General features: G+C 42.3%; 1 long non-coding RNA gene across 1 annotated transcript, besides 1 other annotated feature; it reads right to left on the bottom strand.

Moving 5' to 3' along the window:
• Positions 1-2,613: 2,613 nt before the first annotated feature.
• On the bottom strand, positions 2,614-14,072 carry LOC124900947 (uncharacterized). Its single transcript, XR_007058707.1, has 2 exons — positions 13,947-14,072; positions 2,614-3,896 (listed from the first exon to the last, which is right to left on the bottom strand). It is a non-coding gene; the product is annotated as an uncharacterized LOC124900947 (long non-coding RNA).
• Positions 6,026-6,320: a silencer, noted in NCBI's record as "tiled region #7707; K562 Repressive non-DNase unmatched - State 24:Quies". NCBI's record gives its function as "represses a minimal TATA promoter and a strong SV40 promoter by Sharpr-MPRA in K562 cells {active_cell/tissue: K562}" and the evidence as "EXISTENCE:reporter gene assay evidence [ECO:0000049][PMID:27701403]".
• Positions 14,073-15,319: the final 1,247 nt, after the last annotated feature.

Here is a 15,319-nt window from a genome sequence, read left to right on the forward strand (position 1 = left end):
AACAGGGAGCCAAGGACCAGTGTGGGTTAGACTTGATATTTTCTAGCATGTTTATTATGCATTAAAGCCATAAAATCAAAGTGAATTCCATTATTTTCATTTCTTCCAGATTTCTTTGTTCTCTTTGTTATCCTTCTTGCTGATGAGTTTATTATTATTATTTGAAAATGGTCTCAGGGCAAGCTTCTCTTTCTCAGCGTTCTTCCCTTTTACAATGGAACCCTGTCAGCATTTTCATCCTGCTTCCTCCTTATCTTTCTCATAGAAATGTAAATTCCATAATAGCACTGACCTTCTGCTTTGTCAATACTTTTAAGAAAGAACAGAAAAGCAAGCCACAACTCGATACAGACATCCAACCTCTTGGCTTTTTAGCAGCAGGATTTGTTGGTTTGTGTAGAGATCATGCATCTTGCTGGAAGCACGTTTTACCCCTTAGTTTCAGGGGACCACCACAATGCTGCAGCAGAATCCAAAGAAGGGTTGCTACCTATGTGGGTCAAGATGACGGAAAGTGCAAAATCATATATCTGTTGTTACAGTGGGGGCACTTTGCGGGGGGCGGTGGGGGTGTGGGTGGGAGAAGTGATCTGAAACCTTATGAGGTGAGGTTGTGTGCTGCTAAGGAGCATTTTTTTTTCTTTTTCTTTTCTTCTTCTTCTTCTTTTTTTTTTTTTTTTTTAGGGTCTTGCTCTGTCACCCAGGCTGGAATGCAATGGCTGATCTTGGCTCACTGCCACCTTGACCTCTCTGGCTCAAGTGATTCTCCCACCTCAGCCTCTCGAGTAGCTAAGACCACAGGTGCGTGTCACCATGCCCAGCTAATTTTGTTAATTTTTTGTAGAGACAGGAGCTCTCTGTTTCCCAGGCTGGTCTTGAACTGCTGACTTCAAGTGATCCTCCCACCCCTCCCTCCCAAAGTGTTGGAATTACAGGTGCAAGTCACTGCATGCCCAACCAAAAGCATTTTCTTTCTCTCTTTCTTTCTCCTTCCTTCCTTCCTTCTTTCCCCCTCGCCTCTTTTTTTTTTTTCCTAAGTTTTGCTCTGTTTCCCAGGCTGGAGTGCAGTGGCGTGATCTCAGCTTGCTGAAACCTCCACCTCCCAGGTTCAAGCGTTTCTCTTGCCTCAGCCTCCTGAGTAGCTGGGACTACAGGCGCGTGCCACCACGCCCAGGTAATTTTTTGTATTTTTAGTAGAACGGGGTTTCACCGTGTTAGCCAGGATGGTCTCGATCTCCTGGCCTCAGGTGATCCACCTGCCTCGGCCTCCCAAAATGTTGGGATTACAGGCGTGAGCCATTGCGTCCAGCCCACATTTTTTTTCTTAATCCCGGCCCTGGAAAACATTTTGATCTATAGAGGCATTTGTAAGGCTAGATGTCTTTGTACAATTTGTTAAGTAGTGTTCTGCAGACGATTGTAAAAATGGGTCAGGGAGTAGAAGGTGATATAAAGTATCCCAGAATATTGGTGAGGAAAGAAATCTGGAGTCATGTGTGGGAAGCACAGAAGGAAATTTTTAAGTATACAAGAAAGTTAAGAATGATAACTAGACTGCCTGTTCTGCCTGTGGAGTAGCCATTCTTTTATTCCTTCATTTTCTTAATAAACTTGCTTTCGCTTAAAAAAAATGATAACTAGACTGATAAAGAAGACATTAGCAATGAATGAATTGGATGAGTAAATCTTCAGTCAGAATGAGAGACCTGCTTGCTGTTGAATCTCTTGGAGGTCAGTCCTTTCACATTCAATAAATATGTATTGAGACCCGTGTCTTCAGGGCTCTAGGTGCTGGTGATTCAGTGGTGAATAAAGCCAAGGACATTTTTTTTTTTTTTTTTTGAGACAGAGTCTTGCTCTGTCGCCCAGGCTAGAGTGCAGTGGTGCGATTTCATCTCACTGCAACCTCTGCTTCCCGGGTTCAAGCAATTCTCGTGCCTCAGCCTCCCGAGTAGTTGGGATTACAGGTGCCCCCTCAGAACCCCTGGCTAATTTTTGTATCTTTAGTAGAGACGGGATTTCACCATGTTAGCCAGGCTGGTATTGAACTCCTGACCTCAGGTGATCTGCCCACCTCTTCTTCCTAAAGTGCTGGGATTACAGGCGTGAGCCCTGCCAGCCAAGGCCATCGTGTTACCTACTTTACATTGTAATGCAGGAGCCATCTAATAAATCAATAAACAAAAATATAATGTAAGGTGGTAGGATGACAGGAGAAGCTTGCCTGAGAAGGTGACATTTGAAATGACAACAGAAGGAAGTGAGCTGTGCAGATATGTAGGGCAAAGAGCATTCCAGGCAGAGGGAACAGCAAGTGCAAAGGCCTCAAGGCAGGAACATATTTGGGGCTATTCAAGGGCTAGCAAGAAAGGCAGGGGGAGAGTGGAGGAAGATGACATGGGAGCAAGGGGACATTGCAGAGTCCTTGTAAACCATCTGAGGATGTTATTTTCCATCCTAAGATGAAGGCAGTGAGTGGTTTGGAGTACAGTGGGGGCGTGATCTGGGTTAGAAGGATCACTTTGCTGTATGTGGAGCCAGGCCATGGTGAGAGAACGGCTGTATAGCTATAAAAACTCTCTTCCAGATTTGCAAAATGTCGATGAGAATAACTGCTTTAAAATATCTTTATAGAATACTCTATCCAGTTAAAAGAAACAAAAGTTTGGCATGATCTTCAAATAACCCAAGGGGGAGAAAAATATTAGGCAAATATAAACAGCATTGCATTCAAGAGGTGAAGTTGAGACATGCTTTCAATCTAGCCTCTGCAACAGCCAAGTCATCACAGCGCAATCAAATCCAGCTGGGACCACGGAAGATGACTCCATATCCTGTGGATACTCTGCTTGGCACAATGTGGGTGGGAGCCAATGAGGGCTGGATGGATGGAGGCCCTGAGACTGCTGCCAACCCTTGTTCAGAGCTAGTGGAAACTTCTGACTCTGAAGTCTTCTTTGCAGCTGGAAATGGGGAAAGGACTTAGGGAAGGTGCTGAAGCTGGCTTGGATAAGGCAATGTCCCACTGGAGCTATTTCTGAGCATTTTATTATTACTCAAATCCGTCTTCCCTCCCCCTTTTTTTTAATTGGTAAGTTTTTATGCTGGTAATAATAGGTGATGCTTATTCATTAATTTACAATGTGCCAGGTACTATGTTAAACTTATCATATTCATTATCTTACTAATTTAAGCCTTCACAACAGCCCAATGTGGGAGGTGATATTATTATTGCCCACAATGTTTAGAAGTGGGAACACAAGTTTAGAGACTTGCATAATTCCAGTTAGTTAGTAGCACAACTGAGATTCATCAGAATCCAGCTCATCAGAATCCAGTCTGTGCATTTGAACAATAGCACACTGTCTCTGACTGTTACTTGCCAAGCATCTACGTGAGGAGTTGCCCAAATGGCGGCAAAGTCTGTTCTTACTTGGTTTCCTTTTAATATACATTGGCAGACGTTTTGCATCGCCATGAGGTCTGCTGACTCCCAGTGCAGGAAATCAGTAGCCACAAGGTATTAGACTGATGTGAGAAAATGCTTATAACCAATATGCAAACCTTATTTTATTTTATTATTATTATTTTTTGAGATGGAGTCTCGCTCTGTCACCCAGGCTGGAGTGCAGTGGCGCGATCCTGGCTCACTGCAAGCTCCACCTCCCAGGTTCACGCCATTCTCCTGCCTCAGCCTCCCAAGTAACTGGGACTACAGGCACCCGCCACCGCACCCAGTTAATTTTTTCTATTTTCAGTAGAGACGGGGTTTCACTGTGTTAGCCGGGATGGTCTCAATCTCCTGATCTCATGATCCGCCCGCCTCGGCCTCCCAAAGTGCTGGGATTACAGGCATGAGTGGCCGCGCTTGGCTGCAAACCTTATGTTAAGCAGACCTGGTAAGAAGAAAAAAAGACTTATAAAACAGGCATTCGAAGGACCTACTCATACTTCAAAAATTTTTATTGCATAAATTGGTATATACTTGCACATGCACACAAAATTATTACTTTGCCAAATGAATTGCCAGAGTATTCCTTTGGATAGACATCTAGCACATAATGCAACTCGTGTACAATTTACTCTAGGACATTTATGCTTATGACATAATGTATCCAAGCACATGATGCTTATGACAAATATAGCTGCATGATGACAATCGTGGACAGTCAATGGCTGTTATCTGGGGTAAAAAGTCAAAAGGCTTATCTGGGGTAAAAGCCAACAAGCTGATGTTGACCATCAAGCATCACAGTCTCATCACAGAACTTTCCTACTGAAACATTTTTACAAGTTGCTAACTTTAAAAAAAATCTTTTATTTTATTTTATTTGTCTATTTATTTTTTGAGATGGAGTTTCACTCTTGTTGCCCAGGCTGGAGTGCAACGGCGCAATCTCGGCTCACCACAACCTCTGCCTCCCAGGTTCAAGCGATTCTCCTGCCTCAGCCTCCTGAGTAGATGGGATTACAGGCATGCACCACCACGCCCGGCTAATTATGTATTTTTAGTAGATGCGGGGTTTCTCTGTGTTGGTCAGGCTGGTCTCGAACTCCCGACCTCAAGTGATCCGCCCACCTCGGCCTCCCAAACTGCTGGGATTACAGGTGTGAGCCACTTCACCCAGCTTATTTATTTATTTTTTTGAGACAGGGTCTCACTCTGTTGCCCAGGCTGGAGTGCAGTGGTGCCATCTTGGCTCACTGCAGCCTCAACCTCCCAGGCTCAAGTGATTCTCCCACCTCAGCCTCCCAAGTAGCTGGGACCATGGGCATATGCCATCACGCCCCACTAATTTTTGTATTTTTTTGTAAAGACAGGGTCTCACTATGTTGCCCAGGCTGATCTCAAACTCCTGGGTTCAAGTGATCCTCCTGCCTGTGCCTCCCAAAGTGCTGGGATTATAGATGTGAGCCACCGCTCCTGGTGAAAGTCTTTTATTGTAAAAATTATTTTATTTTATTTTTTACCAGGAATAAAAAAGTAACTTTTAACCACAGCTGAAACCTTTGCTTGCTACATCATAGCAAAGAAGCCCTGTGCATTAAGTATCATGTTTATAACTCAAAGTTACTTTCACCACATGGAGATGTTTCCCCTAGTCTTGTGGTTCGTAAAAATGGCTAGATATTCCAGTGTTAAATATTCTGCAGATGATATTTTATTAATAAACTGACAGGGGAAGGAAAGAGATGGGAATGGAAGGATATCACTCTGTTCTTTATTCTGACTACACATTTTGATTCATCCATACTTTGGAGAGATGCATGTCCGGAATTTACAGCCAATGGTTACCATGGAGAATTATGGAATTGGCAAACTCACCCCTCTGCCCTGAAGGGCAGTGGACAGAAAGGTGAATTCAGTGAATAATTTAGAACCCCAGGCTGGGTGCAGTGCTCACACCTGTAATTCCAGCACTTTGGGAGGCTGAGGTGGGCGGATCACCTGAGGTCAGGAGTTCAAGACCAGCCTGACCAACATGGAGAAACCCCATCTCTACTAAAAAATACAAAATTATCTGGGCATGGTGGCTCATGCCTGTAATCCCAGCTACTTGGGAGACTGAGGGAGGAGAATCGCTTGAACCTGGGAGGTGGAGGTTGCAGTGAGCTGAGATCATGCCACTGCACTCCAGCCTGGGCAACAAGAACAAAACTCTGCCTCAAAAAAAGAAAAAAAAATTTAGAACCCCATTTCCAGAAGACTAATTCCTAATGTAGACTACCAATCTAAGTTTAGATGAATGAAGCACCATATTCCATGTGATACAGTTTTCATTCTAGCACAAAACGTAATTCTCACTATCCATGGCCTTGTTGATAACTGAGGATCTGATACTGGCTTCCTGATGTTTCTTTTTTTTTGGAGACAGAGTCTCGATCTGTTGCCCGGGCTGGAGTGCAGTGGCACAATCTTGGCTTACTGCAACCTCTGCCTCCCGCATTCAAGCAATTCTCGTGCCTCAGCCTCCTGAGTAGCTGAGATCACAGGCGTGAGCCACCACACCTGGCTAATTTTTGTATTTTTAGTAGAGACAGGGTTTCACCGTGTTGGCCAGTCTGGTCTCGACCTCCTGACCTCAGGTGATCCACCCTCCTTGCCTCCCAAAGTGTTGGGATTACAGGCGTGAGCCACCATGCTCAGCTGCTTCCTGATATTTCTGAAAACTCTGTTTTTACATTTTCTGTTTTGGAACACTTCAATCACATGCTATTTTTTTTTCCTTAATGAGAGTAGATGTGTGGAGACGCTTTCCAGAGGGGATTTCCCCTAGCTTACTGTAAATTCTTTCAGTTCCCTTTTTTGTAGTATTTTTCCTAATCATTAATTTTTACTGTTCATAAGCATTTCCTCAAATATTATTAAATATATTATTTAAAATAGAATCAGTACCTTTAAAAAATCTCAATATCAAATAATAGTATTAAGTCGTATTTATATTTAAATATCATTAATATGAAATAATATATCTATTGTTTAAATATTTATCAGTACATTTTTCCCCCTTTAAGTTAAAAAAATAAAAGACAAACAAGAGAAGGAGTACTTCCTCAGACTTAGTTTATGCTTTTGGCAAACTTTTCACCTTTTCAGTTGAATTAGTGACAATGACTTGTTGCATTAGAAGACTATGGGAATGACTTCAAAGAGCTGTAACATCTTATGTGTGTCTGTAGTCCCAGCTACTCGGAAGGCTGACGCATGAGAATCGCTTGAACAGGGAGGTGGAGGTTGCAGTGAGCAGAGATTGTGCCACTGGACAGAGCGAGACTCTGTCTCAAAAAAAAAAAAAAAAAAAAAAAGAGCTGTAACATCTTAAAATGCTTTAGCAATTCAAATTAGTTCCAGTATATCTTACTTATTTGGAGTTATACTTTAATGATACAAGTTGGCCACTTTTGCTTATTAATATTAGAAAAAAACTTCGTCTTAATTACTTTTCTGTGGGGAAACAATTATAATCTGTACTATGTAACCATTTATACAATTTATAACAAAGACATACCCATTCTTTGGAAGAGAGCTATTTGCGCTAGCTGTTTTAAGTATGTTTATGTGTGAGCCTCTCTGGGAAGTTTATATTTTGGCGACAAAAATTTTTTTTTTTGTCTGAAAACTGGCAGAATGGATTTTTTTAAATAAGAATTTTTTAAAAAAGCATTTTCTCCCCAGATTAGGTCTGCCAGTGGAAGTAATTATGGCCTGGTGTTCCTTGGGTTCTTTTGCACCCTTTGGTCAAGGTGGCTTGTTGCTGAGAGATCATTTTGCTGACTGCACATTGGATTTCACTTCTAGATGCCTAAGCTCTATTTAGTAAGCTGGGTGAGTTTACACAAAATAGCAACCCTGAAGTGGAAATATCCATACAGTTTAGTAGCTGCCATGAATATATCACACATCAGACTCAATACACCATGAAGACATCCCCAATAGTTTCTAATCATTTACATATGTTCTTTCCTTAACAGCATTTGCATTATAATCACTTTATTCATAAATCAAATGGTCCATTTAAAAGAGATTATATAGAGGAAAAATTATTTCAAGACTTGTTTACCAGTGTTTTTACTTAAGCTAGTTCCCAAAGCCTATAAATAAAAAGGGTTATTTTCATGTGAACTGTTTAACTCATCAATGTGTACAATGCATCTTGTGTAGAAGTTAGTCCTCCTCTGAAAGAAATTTCCAGAAATATATTTTTATTTAGGAACAAGAGCTTAAGTTATAAGACACTCTAACAAAGTGTGTGTATGTGTTTGTATGTGTTTTTCTAACCATAGAAAACATTATTTTAGTGAATGTTCAAATACACAGTGGTACTGTCTGCTTCTCTGGAAGTTTCTGTGACAATAGGGATACAGGTTAAATGTACCATGTGTTATATTGAATCAGGTTCCAGGGAGAGGGCTATATATCATTGAGGAGAAAACAGGCCTTTGCTTTCAGAAAGGTAATCTGGAAATCTAAAATATAATAATCCCACCACATAATGTTGTATCTTCATAATGATGAACTACTAACATACTACTTTAATTTTATCCCTAAACTCACCTAGAGTCTACAAGGAATTTTTACAATCTCCTTTTCCTTTCCCTCCCCTCCCCCTCCCCTCCCCCTCCCCCCTCCTTCCCTCCCTCCTTTCCTTCCTTCCTCTTTCTTTCTTTTTCTTTTTTTTTTTTTTGAGGGAGTCCCCCTCTGTCGCCCTGGCTGGAGTGCAGTGGCGCAATCTTGGCTAACTGCAACCTCTGCCTCCTGGGTTCAAGCGAGTCTCCTGCCTCAGTCTCCCGAGTAGCTGGGATTACAGGCATGTGCCACCAAACCAGGCTGATTTTTGTATTTTTAATAGAGTCAGGGTTTCACCATGTTGGCCAGGCTGGTCTCGAACTCCTGACCTCAGGTGGTCCACCCACCTCGGCCTCCCAAAGTGTTGGGATTACAGGCATGAGCCACTACGCCTGACCTACAATCTCCATTTCTTATAACGAATTCATTCAAACTATGTGTTAAGGGGAAGAAGATAAGTAATCATAGTTCTTGCCCAGAAGGAGTAAGAACAGGAGTAAGAACGAAATGCTATGGACTCAGTACATATGTGTAAAGGCCATTAGCTCTATAACAATTTTAAGGTGAGGCAGGAGCTTCATTCGATTCTACAGGTTTGAGCCTTTTTATGTTTCAGTGTAAGATGTTTATTTTATGTAAGTCAATGTGTGATAATGTTAAATCCATGCAAGGAAGACACAGGCAGCTCAGTGGTTGGCTTTGGGGAGCAAAGGATGAAAGGAAAGCTGCTGTGCAGGCTGGAAGGGAGAGGACAGGGGATTTTTCTTAGGAATCTTGGAAATTTTCTCAAGCTTCTTGGCTGCTCTGAGGAAGTAGTTTGACCTTTGCCTGGCTGCTCAGTATTGGAATGAGATCCTGAGAGGTGAAGCCAGCTGGACTTCCTGGGTCGAGTGGGGACTTGGAGAACTTTTCTGTCTTACAAGAGGTTTGTAAAACGCACCAATTAGTGCTCTGTAGCTAACTAGAGGTTTGTAAAATGCACCAATCAGCACTCTGTAGCTAGCTAGAGGTTTGTAAAATGCACCAATCAGTGCTCTGTAAAATGGACCAGTCAGCACTCTGTAAAATGGACCAATCAACAGGACATGAGTGGGGACAAATAAGGGAATAAAAGCTGGCCACCCCAGCCAGCAGGGCAACCTGCTTGGGTCCCCTCCCACACTGTGGAAGCTTTGTTCTTTCACTCTTCACAATAAATCTTGCTGCTTCTCATTCTTTGGGTCCGTGCCATATTTAAGAGCTGTGACACTCACCGCAAAGGTCCGTGGCTCCATTCTTGAAATCAGCGAGACCACGGACCCACTGGAAGGAACCAGCTCCAGACACAGTCCCATCCTAGAGACTCCTCTCTTGCAAAAGGCTTGGAATATTTTGTTTCTAGTTTTTGTTTCTATATTCTTTCCAGTGAAAAAGTATCTGGCAGAGTGTGGTGGTTCACACCTGTAATTCTAGCCATGTTGGAGGCTGAGGTGGGAGGATTGTTTTAGCCCAGGATTTCAAGACTGCAGTGAGCTGTGATTACTGCTACTGCACTCCAGCCTGGGGGACAGAGAAATACCCTATCTCAAAAAAAAAAAAAAAAAAAAGCAATTAAGAAAACACTTTAACATTAACATTGTATACTTAGTTTAAACATTGCATTTAGGCCAGGCATGGTGGCTCACGCCTGTTATCCTAGAATTTTGGGAGGCTGAGACAGGTGGATTGCTTGAGGCCAGGAGTTCAAAAACAGCCTGGCCAACATGGTGAAACCCCGTTTTTACTAAAAATACAAAAAAATTAGCTGAGTGTAGTGGCAGTCACCTGTAATCCTAGCTACTCGGGAGGCTGAGGCTGGAGAATTGCTTGGACCCGGGAGGCAGAGGTTGCAGCGAGCTGAGATTGCGCCACTGCACTCCAGCCTGGGCAACAAGAGTGAAACTCCGTCTCAAAAAACAAACAAAACCCATTACATTTAATATTTAACATTAACATTATGTATTATCAGTCTATCAAACATTAAAATGATTAACAAATCCATGCCACGTCAGTACTAACACACTTAACTTGCACAGATGTAGACGGAATACAATTTGTTGGAAGCAACTTAGAATAGGAATTCAGCCTCCTGCTGCCACCAGACATCCCCAGGGCTCTGTGAGGACAAGGGATTGTTTTGGGTTCAAGGCAAGGTAAACCACAACACATTGAGCAGGGACCAGTCACCACTTGGAGGAGATGATACATATCTTTTTCTAGAAGTTTGTTTTTTTCCATTATATGATTTAAAGAAAAGGCAGCCACAGTTCATATGGTGTTAGAGAATCTTGAAAAAACAAATTCACATTCTTTTCTCTCCACTTGATCAACAACTGTGTAATTCTAAATTCCTGGGAGGCGTTGGGTTTGACTTTATTGGATTCAGCCCATAGTCTGAAATGAGGTGGTTTCTTTATTTGATAAGTTCCCCAGCTGAAGTTTCAGCAACTGTTCTTAAGGAAATGTTATCTCTTTATCGTAAGAAAAGCTTTTCGTACCAAATTTTCAGTGTTCTGGTTGTTCCAAAATAGTAGGAATGGAAATGTTGGCTGTCAGAAAGTCTCTTCCTCTATTGGTGGAAAAGAAAAATAGCCTATCTGAATCATGAGAGGGATCGTAGAGATTTCCCATTCCAAAGTCCCTTCCTTTTTCAGACGAGGAAACTGAGGCCCAGGAATGTTAACTGAAACAATACCGAGGGCTTGCCCTGCACTTAGGGTGGGAATGAGATCCCTGGGTTTTTAGTGAATGGAATGGGATTCTTCAAACATCCTAGCCTGCTTATAAATTGCACGTTAACTCCCTGATGATGTGGAGAGGCTGTGAGCTTGACTGAGCGTTACTGTTCACAAGTGTATCTTTTTACCTAAGGATTAGGAACTGTGTGCTGACTTAGCCCAGGTGAGCTTTGATTTTGCCCCAGGTCAACATCGGAAACCACGTCTTTTATAGGAAAGGAACAGGAAAATCCAGTATGAGATTTCACATACATATTTATTCTCCTGATAAGACTCCAGGTTCCTGGTGCAGTTGCTTTCGCTTCCCTGTTAATGATTTGGTCGTGTTACCTCTCCTTTGTGATGTAGGTTTTTCTGAAATGATGTAAATAATGGTCTAAATCATCTTCCTTACTCAGTCAATAAATATTTGGCTCTAGTCTGTATTATTTTCTTTTTGCTGTTTAACATATAACTCTTTGTTGGTTATTTTTTTTTCTGAGTGAATTTCACACCACCCCTAAGTGAAAGCTACATGAAGGCATCAAACCTAGCTTAGTGTTTTCACATCATTAATTCTAAGTAACATTTCTGAAGCTACTTGAAAAACTAAAATTTTATAAGGTGAGCTACTGAAAAGTCATTACATCAAGGCTTTAATGTATTGTCTTGGTAATGATAAATTTCCATGTGTCAGAATTGCACAGAGCACTATAGAATTCCTACAGCCACACAGGTTCCTCTTTCCCAGGGATTTCTGTGTACAGGTCAAACCTCTATAAAATAAAGCTGTCAAAAGACAAAATTACAACCACTTTAAAGATCGAACTGCCTTTTATGTGTGATGCTAGAATGGGGCAGCGCCTCCTTCTACACGGTAGAGTGAGTGTTCTGATGGGCGGAGCACAGGAGGTTTGCTTTATAGGCAGAAAAAGGCTGAAGAGAGCAAAAATAGGGGACAAAAAGTGGATTGATCATTTCAAATTTACTTTCCCTACAGATGGTTAAAACAGAGGGGAACTTCCTTGTCACTCAGGCTCTGGTACACTAGGCTCCTTTTGCCTGGTTGTTGTATAGCTTCTGTTTTGGGAAAACAGGCCTGTTTCAGACCTGCTAATTTTTGTATTTTTAGTAGAGACAGCGTTTTACCATGTTGGCCAGAGTTCATTCAGATCTCATGGCAATTAGCCTTACTGACTCCATACTGGTCACTCAGGCTAATTGCTGGGGCCCAGAGTCGGAGCTCAGTCCAAACAACAGCCTGCCATAACTGTGTTTAGCAGAGGTTGCCATTCCTTTCTTGGTCCCTTTTGTCTTAGAATCAATTGTCTGAATTACCAGGTATTGTCATCTCCAAGGGAGGATCTGTCTTGGAAATTTCTAGCTAGTTCCCTTTTCCTAATAGTGGACACGTGTGTTCCCAAAAGGAATGACTATGAATGGGCCAGTGTTTCATGGACCATGTCCTCCAAAACTCCTGTGTATTTACTTACAGACGATGGGCCGGAACAAGTGGGAAACACTGCCTTTGGCTTGATTCCATCCAGTCCATAGGATGACATTGTGTGGCCACTGGTCTTAATGCCCAGGCAATATTTTCCCTCTGTAGCTATGCCTTTAAGACAGAAAACTAAAAGGCTTAAAACCACTAGACAATTCCAGGAGGAGGCTACTTTCTTTGTTGTGCTTCTGTTGTTGACACTTCTGTTCTCAAGGTTAATTACATATTTGGTTAACTGATTTAATTAGTTAATTGGTTTGCTGGGCCTGCCTCCTTGGTAAGAATTCAAATGCAAATTCACACTGGGATATGCCCTTTCATTGTTAGTGGCCTATAACCAAGACACACACACACACTACTTAATTATAAGTGTTTGTTTTGGGGAATTTGCTACTTGTTCTCTGAAGCAGATTTTCTTTTACACGAGGAGAGCAAATGCCAGTTTACTGCCAATTCCAGAAGTCTGCTCTATTGCAGCAAAGAAGGAGATGGGAATGGCAGTGTCTAGAAGCATGAGACGTCTCTGACGTCTGCTCTGATCCTCCCAGTGCCTGGTGGGTTCTGGGGCCAGAACTGGGCACGGTGACTCAAAATGTGAAGATGTCCTCCTTCTGGGGTGTGTCGTGTGTCCTCTCTACCTCAGCAGAGAAAACAAGAAAATGAAACGGGATTCAGAGTGTCAATTCTAAACGTTAACACTTTCTGAATAATCAATAAAAAACGAATTCTGGCCGGGCATGGTGGCTCACATTTGTAATCCTAGTGCTTTGGAGGCTGAGGCAGGTGGATTGGCTGAGCTCAGGAGTTCAAGACCAGCTTGGGTAACATGGCAAAACCCTGTCTCTACTAAAAATAACCAAAAAAAAAAAAAAAAATTAGCCAATTGTGGTGGCACACGCCTGTAATCCCAGCTACTCAGGAGGCTAAGGCACAACAATTGCTTGAACCTGGGAGGTGGACGTTGCAGTGAGCCGAGATCACGCCACTGCACTGCAGCCTGGGTGACAGAGCGAGACTTCGTCACAAAAAAAAAAAAAAAAAGAATTCTGTCTGGGTTGCTGGTGGAATAAGAAAAAGCAGAGGCTGGTCATGGTGGCTCATGCCTGTAATCCCAGCACTTTGGGAGGCCGAGGCAGGTGGATCATGAGGTCAGGAGATCGAGACCATCCTGGCTAACACAGTGAAACCCCGTCTCTACTAAAAATACAAAAAATTAGCCGGGCGTTATGGTGGGCACCTGTAGTCCCAGCTACTCGGGAGGCTGAGGCAGGAGAATGGCGTGAACCTGGGAGGTAGAGCTTGCAGTGAGCCGAGATCGTGCCACTGCACTCCCTCCTGGGAGACAGAGGGAGACTCTGTGTCAAAAAAAAAAAAAAGTAAAAGCAGAAAAGGTGTTTCACTTAGGTTTTACGGTATTAGATTAATTCTCTAATCATTTCTAGTCCTTTCTATTTTCAGTCTGCCTGATTGAAAACAGAAAAATCAGGCTGGGTGTAGTGGCTCATGCCTGTAGTCCCAACACTTTGGGAGGCAGAGGCGGGTGGATCACTTGAGGTCAGAAGTTCAAGACCACCTGGCCAACATGGTGAAACGCCATCTCTACTAAAAACACAAACAATTAGCTGCGCATGATGGCCCTTACCTGTAATCCCAGCAACTTGGGAGTCTGAGGCAGGAGGATTGCTTGAACCCGGGAGGTGAAGGTTGCACTGAGCTGAGATTGATCTTGCCATTGCACTCCAGCCTGGGCGACAGAGCGGGACTTCATCTCAAAAAAAAAAAAAAAAATTATATTTTTCACAGATGACTTTATTGATGTCGAGCAAATTATTAGCCTCTCTCTTTTTTTTTTTTTTTTTAGGGCTAGTCAAGTGCAGTAGTGAGAAGGAGGGAAAGAGTAGAACCAGGAGTTCAATCTGTAACTGACTGAATAATCAATTGAGATAACTCACTACCTTCAGGCCAGTCTATCAGCCTACTTTGTTTGGCATCTGGAAGATCAGAGTTTGGAGAAGAAATGCTCCAGGGTCCTCAGTCCTTGATGAGTTGTACTCATAATAGAGTGAGTTGAGGGTTGCTCTTGCCATGTGTGTTTGCTTGTGTGGTTCTGAGAAATCTGGAAAGAACTTGGCTGATGACTTTAAAGCTGGTGGTAGATCCTTTTAACTGGAGAATGGAGCCTGTCCATTGTTGGAATGACATTGATTTTTATTTTCTCTTTAATTGTTGAGTTTCTCATTTCTGCTGCAGGGTTAACAAATTTGTAACCTCCTTGGCAGTCTTGCCTGAGATTCTTCTTTCCTCTCATAATTAGAGAGCTTTTTGTAATCTTTCATCAGACTTTCCTTTGAACTAGCTTAATTATGTCTCATTCCAGCTTTATTGATTGGTGTCGCTAATTGATCGTTTTTCTTCCATAATATTGCTTTATGCACTTTAAAAACAATTATAGCTCTTTTTAATTTATTTTTTATTTTGGAGACAGAGTCTTGTTCTGTCGCCCAGGCTGGAGTGCAGTGGTGCGATCTCCGCTCACTGCAACTTCCGCCTCCCAGGTTCAAGCGATTCTCCTGCTTCAGCCTCCCAAGTAGCTAGGATTACAAACACGCGCTACTACACCTGGCTAATTTTTTGTATTTTTAGTAAAGACAGGATTTCTCCATGTTGGTCAGGCTGGTCTTCAACTCCTGATCTCAGGTGATCCACCCTCCTCGGCCTCCCAAAGTGCTGGGATTACAGGCGTAAGCCACCACGCCCAGCCTAATTATAGATCTTTTCATGTCCATCTTCTCCATTGCCAAAATACTCTTTTAAAAAGGTAGAATTATTTTTTAAATTGTAGAAGTCATATCACAGTGGTACCATTTGACCTTTGTTTTTCCTTCTGAATCAGTCTTTATATTGCTCCCTACAAATCATACTTCAAGTGACGTTTCCTTTGGATTTGAGGTTGAAAACCCAAACATGAGACCAACATCCTATAAGCAGTGCGGAAGTCCATGGCAGAAGTTCTCA

The sequence above is a fragment of the Homo sapiens genome, chromosome 5 (assembly GCF_000001405.40).
Source record: "Homo sapiens chromosome 5, GRCh38.p14 Primary Assembly".
Taxonomy (NCBI): domain Eukaryota; kingdom Metazoa; phylum Chordata; class Mammalia; order Primates; family Hominidae; genus Homo; species Homo sapiens.